At 55.4% G+C, this 7,054-nt stretch overlaps 1 protein-coding gene across 3 annotated transcripts; it reads right to left on the minus strand.

Moving 5' to 3' along the window:
- Positions 1-724: 724 nt before the first annotated feature.
- CHRNA10 (cholinergic receptor nicotinic alpha 10 subunit) lies at positions 725-6,522 on the minus strand. 3 transcript variants are annotated; one of them, NM_001303035.2, is made up of 5 exons: positions 6,390-6,522; positions 4,872-5,012; positions 4,334-4,488; positions 2,370-2,902; positions 725-1,702 (listed from the first exon to the last, which is right to left on the minus strand). In NM_001303035.2, the coding sequence occupies exons 4-5, from the start codon at positions 2,644-2,646 to the stop codon at positions 1,245-1,247; spliced, it is 735 nt and encodes a 244-aa protein (NP_001289964.1). In that variant the 5' UTR covers positions 2,647-2,902; positions 4,334-4,488; positions 4,872-5,012; positions 6,390-6,522; the 3' UTR covers positions 725-1,244. The 3 variants fall into 3 exon arrangements, with proteins under 3 accessions (NP_001289964.1, NP_065135.2, NP_001289963.1); NM_020402.4 differs by having other exon boundaries at positions 4,934-5,079; NM_001303034.2 differs by having other exon boundaries at positions 4,872-5,079.
- Positions 6,523-7,054: the final 532 nt, after the last annotated feature.

Genomic DNA, 7,054 nt, shown 5'->3' on the forward strand with positions numbered 1-7,054 from the left:
GGTGCCTAACTCCAGCACACAGAGAGAAGGAGAGACGGGAGAGAGAGCGCTAGTCCTCCATCGGCACCTCGGTCAAATTCCATTCTCTTGTCAGCACAGATGTAACTTCTGCTCTAATCCATGAGTCCTGAGGCTCCTCTCATCACGGCTCACTGTAGCCTCAAACTCCTGGTTTCAAGAGATCCTCCCACCTCAGCCTCCCAAGTAGCTGGGACTACAGATATGTGCCACCACACCTGACTAATTTTTGTGTTTTTTGTAGAGACAGGGTCTCCCTAGGTTGCCTAAGTTCTTTTTTTTTTTAAGCTAGTCAAATTTAGCAGTGGGGGGTTATATACCAACTTTAGTGACAGTGACATTAATAAGTTCTGATAACCCACCACCATGGACACCAGCAATACCCAGACAGCTGGGAAAGCATTATTTCTGGATGTGTCTGTGAGGGTTTGCAGCAGGAGATTGGCGTGTGAGTTGGTGGACTCAGTGGCAAGTTCCACTCTCAATGTGGGAGGGCATGGAGAGGACAAAAAAATAAGGGAAAGGCAAATTCACACTCTTTCCTGGAGCTGGGACATCCTTCTCTTACCATTGGACATTAGAACTTCAGGTTCTCAGGCTTTGAACTTGGACTTGCGCCAGCGGCCATGAGACCTGAAGTAGACAGACCTGGACCCCCAGCTTCCACTACCACAGACCTCATGGGTAACACAGGGCATCGAGGAGGTGCTAGGTACACGCTTACTTTATTGAGTCAGGGATTTGGGGCCAAATGTCTGTAGGGCCTCCTGCTCTGGAAACTCGACTGAGAATCCCCGACCCTTTTCCCTGAGCCCCTCAGCAGGGAAAGGTAACAGCCAAAGCCCTGCAAAGCAGCCACCTAGGAAGGAAGACAGGAAATGCAGCAGTACAGTTCAGTTTCTCATTATAACCCATGTGCTCCCCACTGAGAGCTCCAATACCCAGCACAAACAATTCTGTCCCTCCAAGACTGTACTCTGTGATCTTGGCCTTTGTAGAGTTCCTCTTTTTTTTGGAATTAGGGGAGTGGCAGGCTCTGGACTTCCTTTAGTTAGGGTGTGTAGACAATGAGTGCTCCCTTGTGGATTGTGAAGTCAAGTGTCTCAGGATCTTAGGAGCAGTGGGGAGAGACTGGCTGGCCCAAAGACCAGCAACCACTTGGCCGTGGCTGTCCCTTTCTGGAGGAGCTGTGGCTGCAGCAGATCCCTGTGACTTAGTCCCAGCCCTCACAGGGCCTGCACCAGCACCAGGAGGCTCATGACCAGGGCCATGGAGAAGAAGATGGCCAGGAAGAAGCGGTCCATCACACGGGCCAGGCGCTTCCAGTCCTCATGGCAGCGCTGGGCAGCTCGGTGGCTGCGGAAGGTATTGGCAATGGTGGCTACGTGGTGCAGTAGGGCTTCCTGGCGGCACAGACATCGTGGCTCGTGGCAAGGGCCCGCTGGGGGGCCAGCCCCTCCTTCAGGCGACTGGGGGCTAGGAGATAACTCAGGTGGCCTGGACTGCCCACAGGGCTCCCCTCTTTCCCGCACGCACAGGCCCCGTGCCAGGTGTCCCAGCAGGAGGGCCCTAGCCCAGGCTGGCACTGGGCGGACACTGGGACCACAGTAATGCAGGTTCATGATAAGGATGGTGAGTGCTGTTGAGAATGTGACCATGGTCATAGTGGCCATGTAGTACTTCCCTGCAAGAGAGAGAGAAAGCCAATTGACTCAAAACAAAAGCCTGTGGTTCCTGAGCTTCCCAGCCACCTCTGCACAAATGGAAATAAGCCCACCATGAAGCTCTCCAGACCCTCCAAGCCCCATGGATGGAAGCAGGAAGGAGGTAAGGGCCGAGTTCTCCCCATCCTTCATTCCTACACGTGGGTCATCGGAAGCTACTGCTCTCTAATTGCTCCCGTCACTGCTGGAGGCTGCACTCATACACAATCCAGGACAGTCCCGCTCTCAAATAACGACGGGCATGAGCTGGGGCAAGATACGAATCCTTTTTGTACAAATGGGATACCCAGAGGACCTACTTCCTAGGTTTGTGGTGATGCTTACCTGAGTTAATAAAGGTCAAGTGCTTAGGGGAGTGCCTGGCACACAGCAAGCAGTCGACAGATTTTGCCTATCATTAGGATCTGGGGATACTGATGTTCCATCATCAAGGGCCAAGTCGTGAGGGGTGTTCTCCCTGGAAGGAGCTAATCCTTTCCCCTCAGTCTTAAAATGAGGGCACGTTCCCAGGACGCCCCCCTCTCACTTTCTGCAGTGGGGCCGTTCCGCAGACCCAGGCCCTGTCGCGGCCCCGCCCTGGGGGGACCCCAGCGCATCGTCAGGTCCCCCCGCGCCCCCGCTGCTCACCGATGAGCGGCACGCTCTCGGCCGGTGGCATGCTCTCGGCCAGCAGCAACTGGAAGACGGTGAGCGCCAGCAGCACGGTGACGCCCAGCGACACCTTCTCGCCTGAGTCGGCAGGCAGGTGGAAGGCGAGCGGCGCAAGCAGCGAGATGAGCACGCAGGGCAGCAGCAGGTTGCACACGTAGGCGGCGGCGCGGCGGCGCAGCAGCAGCGTGAAGGTGACGTCGGGGTAGGGCTCGGAGCAGCAGCCGTAGGTGAGCACGCGCCGCCGCGCCGGCATGCCCAGCACGCGCCACTCCACGTTCTCCACGAAGTCCGCCAGGCTGGCTGCAGCGCCGCGCGGCCGCACATCCAGTTGGTGCCCGCCGTGAGTCCAGGAGCCGAACGTCAGGCCGCAGTGCTGGGCGTCGAACGGGAAGGCTGCTACATCCACGCGGCACGAGCTGCGCGTGATGGCCGGCGCGTCCCAGCGCACGGCGCCATCGTGGCGCAGGACCACGTTGGTGCTGGCGGAACCTGGAGGCTGCGCGTCGGCTCTGGGGGCAGGCGGGGCAGGGCTCACCTAGGCTGTCCAGCCTGAGGAGCAGCCCCGGAGGCCGGGAGCCCAGGGCAGACCCCCAGGGGCTGAAAGAAACCAAAACTTCTCCCCAGAATATTGAGGCTCGTTAAGTTCGAGACACTCACGACGCAGGGGAGCACCTGGCCCCAGCGTCTGCTGGCCTGATGGCAGGACATCAGCCCTTCCTTGCTGGAGTCAGCACTTGCTTATCCAAAGGGCACCAGTAGGTGCCAGAGGAATCTGGAAACAGATTTTACCCTCTTTCCACGTTTTCCCGCCTTTTAAAGGTGGCTGTCCTTTGTCTTGCCACTATTTATAACTTACTGGCTCTTTCTTGAATTTCTATTTAAGCAAGGCCCCTAAGTCACTGCCTTCAGAGAGAAATACTTTTGAACTAAGGCCTCTCCCATGATGGGTACAGCAGATTAATAAACTTCTGCTTGTGGCTGGGTGCGGTGGCTCACGCCTGTGATCCCAGCACTTTGGGAGGCCGAGGTGGGCGGATCACGAGGTCAGGAGATCGAGACCACCCTGGCTAACACGGTGAAACCTCGTCTGTACTAAAAATACAAAAAACTAGCTGGGCGTGGTGGCGGGTGCCTGCAGTCCCAGTTATTTGGGAGGTTGAGGCAGGAGAATTGCGTGAACCCGGGAGGCGGAGCTTGCAGTGAGCCGAGATAGCGCCACTGCACTCCAGCCTGGGCGACAGAGCGAGACTGTGTCTCAAATAAATAAATAAACTTGTGCTTGTTTTTTTTTCGTTAATTTGATTCTTGTTTTCAGAACAAAGCAACACAGAGGGTGGAGTGCACCTAGAGAGACCCGCTGCCTTTCGAGGCCTGGAAGGGGTGGTGCCTGAAGGGCCCAGAAGGGACACAGACGTAGCCAGAGGATGTATAAAAAGGCCTCTGCAGAACCCAGAGGTAGCTCCGGGACACACAGTGACTTCCCTTGGGGGACATCTGCAAAACTTGTAGAAGGGCCCCAGAGAAAATATGCAGAGCTATGTGCTGGCTGGGAGACACGGAACTGGTCAAGGAGACATAAAGCAGTGTTCCAGAGGGCTATGTCCTGGAGGAAAGAGACCCTTACACAGGCTCTTCGGGGAGCCCTGAGAGACTTAGAGCTAAAAGTGTGCCCTAGAGAGGCCCTTGTGATTCAGACAACTGCCCTGGACCACACAGTAGGTTCCGAGGAGACGTTCAGCCTGGGCTGGCCTGGGATAGCCTAAAGTGGGGGTGCCATGGAGGGGCTGAGTGCCTGGCAGCTTAGAAGGGTCCTGGGGAAAAGCTTCCAGGGCAGCGTGGCAACCAGGTTATGTGGTAGGGAGAGGGGATCACTACACCCCCACAGCTAAGGGCAAGTCTAGAGAGGGGTAAGAGAGAGGAGGGGCCCAGATAGGCAGTACTTGTTATAGAGTACGATGTCTGGCCGCCACACAAGACTGCTGGGGATGCGGATGGCATCCAGGCCACCATAGGCATTGGGGTCCCATCGTAGGTAGGCATCTGTCCACTCCTGCCGTATCCACAGATACAGGGTCAGCACCTGGTTCCGTTCATCCTAGTGGGGGCAGGGAATGGCAGAGATGTGGACATGTATATGCATATCCTGCCCTGTCTGTGCACACTCCCCTGCAGGGCTCTGGTCAGCACCCACAAACCTGACTTGTCCATACCGTCCAGTTCCCACCCAGACCTGACCTTGCCATGTGACCTTAGTGGGCTCTTCTCTTTTCTGCCCCTGTTTCCTCAGCAGGAATATGGGGTGAGAATCCCTGCTTAGCAGGGATTCAGTAAGTTCAGGTGAACAAAATATTGGGCACGAGGTAGGCACCCAATACTCAGTACCCAACAGTCAGTACCCAACAGTTTGTAACTGCTACCTTTGTTAATATTAACATTTACAGAAAAGAAATTCCATGGAGAATAATCCCAGTCTCTCACCCCTTCATTTCTTGACACTGTGACAGGTAAGACTCCACAGCTGTACCACCACCACAACGCACCATGTCGATGATCTGGGACAGTGTCACCTCCAGGGTCACATTCAGAGTCTGGTCTGTGTCTGCCACAGGTCTCAGGGCACTTGTGTAGTTGGCAAAGAGGTCACGGAACAGCTTGAGAGCCAGCCGGCCCTCAGCTCCCAGGCACTCTGGAGGGTCAGTAAGGAGGGTTGTCCATCCCAGGCCCTAGTCCCAGGGCCTCTGCTCACACCCTCCACTCCCAGGGCTGGGGCCCTGTCCTTATGAGTGTCCTCCTGGTGTCTGCCTTCTCTTGCTCTAGCTGTGGCTCTAGTTCCTCCCTGGCCTGCCTGCAGGGACACATGAGGTAAAGGCCATGGAGTGAACTGGTACTATCTTCTGGCGCCAGGCTGACAAATTTCTCCTCCACCCTCCCCTTTTCAAGGACCTGGAGTCTGCCTGCCTCTCCACAAATGCTAGAGGGGCCCAAATAAGCCACAAGAGTCCAGACTTTCACCCAGGGATTCTAAACCCCACTGCTCTGCCCCCTCCAGTATCTCTCAAACCTGTTTCCACTTCTCCATCTCGAGCTGGTTTCTTCAAAACTTCTGATGCGATGGAACACTCCCTCACTCTGAAAACACACTTCCCCAGGCTTTACTGACACAAATTTTCCTCAATCCCTGACCTAAACATTGTTCCCATGAATCCTGTCCTTGGCTCCCATCTTTTTCTTCATCCCAGATTTTTCTCCTGAGCTCCAGACCCCAATAGAGTACAGTCCACTCCTGAGTTTCCCACAGGCACCTTCAACTCTGAGGGTCCAAAATATGAACTCGCTTCCTCCCTCCATGCTCTGAAACCTGCTTCCTATCCCATGTTCCCTATCTCAGCAAATAGCATGCCCTCAGCTTCAACAGTGACCTTAGTTGGAAATCTGGGAATTATCCCTCCCTTCTCCCTCTGCTGCCTCCTCCTCGGGGAATCCAGTTAATCTCCAGATCCTGTCAGATCATTCAAATCCTCCAGATTTTGCGAAACATCGTCTTGAGTCTACCCTCTCCCCTCCAGGTCAGGGCCCTCCCTTCACTGTCTCCCTTTCCCCAAAGGCTCACCTTCTTCTACCCCTCCCATGCCCCAGGACCACGCTTTTAAGCATGCACATCTGACCAGGCTAGTATGCTGCTGAAACCTTTCAGTGCTCCCCGTCATCTGCAGGAGAAAGACCTGGCCTGGCCGGCAGGCCCTTCAACATCTGGCCCCTCTGATTTTCCCAGCCCTGTCTCTGGAAGCTCCCCGCTCACTGTTTCCACCCTAGCCAGGCAAGTCTCCTCTCACGCACTTCAGCACCCCTCTCCTCCACACTCCCCAAATAGAGAGCTTGTTCTCAGAACAGGTACTGAGGAGAAACACAAGAGAGACTACATGGAAAGGGATTTTGGGAGAACAGGAATAGTAGCACCACCAGGAGAGGCCAGGGCTGGTGTACTGAGCTTCATACCTGCAGGGAGTAGAAACAGAAGCAGAAGGCCCAGGCTGAGGTGGTGGCTCCGGAGCCCCATGGCCCTGGCACTGCAAGAGCGGGGGCAGGTCTCTGGATGTGAGGCCTCCTGGCCAGACCTAGGGCAAAATTAGGCCCAGCTGGCAAGGATGGTGTGGACAGTACCTAGAAGTCAGAAGTAAGACAGATCTCTGGTGGGTCCAGCCACCCTCCAGCGAGCCCTGCAGCCCCTCCAGTCTTCTGACCCTCCAATTTGTGCCTGCCCCTGGATTTTAGTACTTGGTCTTTCTTCTTCTCTGCTGGTCCTTGCCTCTTCTGGCCTCTGCCTCTGCCCTTTCCTATGCTCCCCACCTGCTTTGTCTTTCACTCTGTTTCTGCTTCCTTCTCTTTCCGTCTGTAACTTTCTTGGTCTCTCTGCCTCCCTGACTCTGATCATCCCCTGCCTGCCTCTTTCCACTCTCTCTCCCTTTCTCCTACTTCTGTTTCATCCCTCATTCCTTCCTTCTTCCATTCCCCACACCTGGACTCTAGATGGGCCTGCTGCTCTCTCAGCAGAACAGGGACCAGGGACTCCTCCCTTGATCAGCCCAGAGTCGTCCGAGGCACAGGACCACAGCCCCTCCCTCTCTGCCCTTTCATTAGCTTAATTACACCGTGCCTATGAC

Source organism: Homo sapiens, chromosome 11, assembly GCF_000001405.40.
Source record: "Homo sapiens chromosome 11, GRCh38.p14 Primary Assembly".
Lineage (NCBI taxonomy): Eukaryota > Metazoa > Chordata > Mammalia > Primates > Hominidae > Homo > Homo sapiens.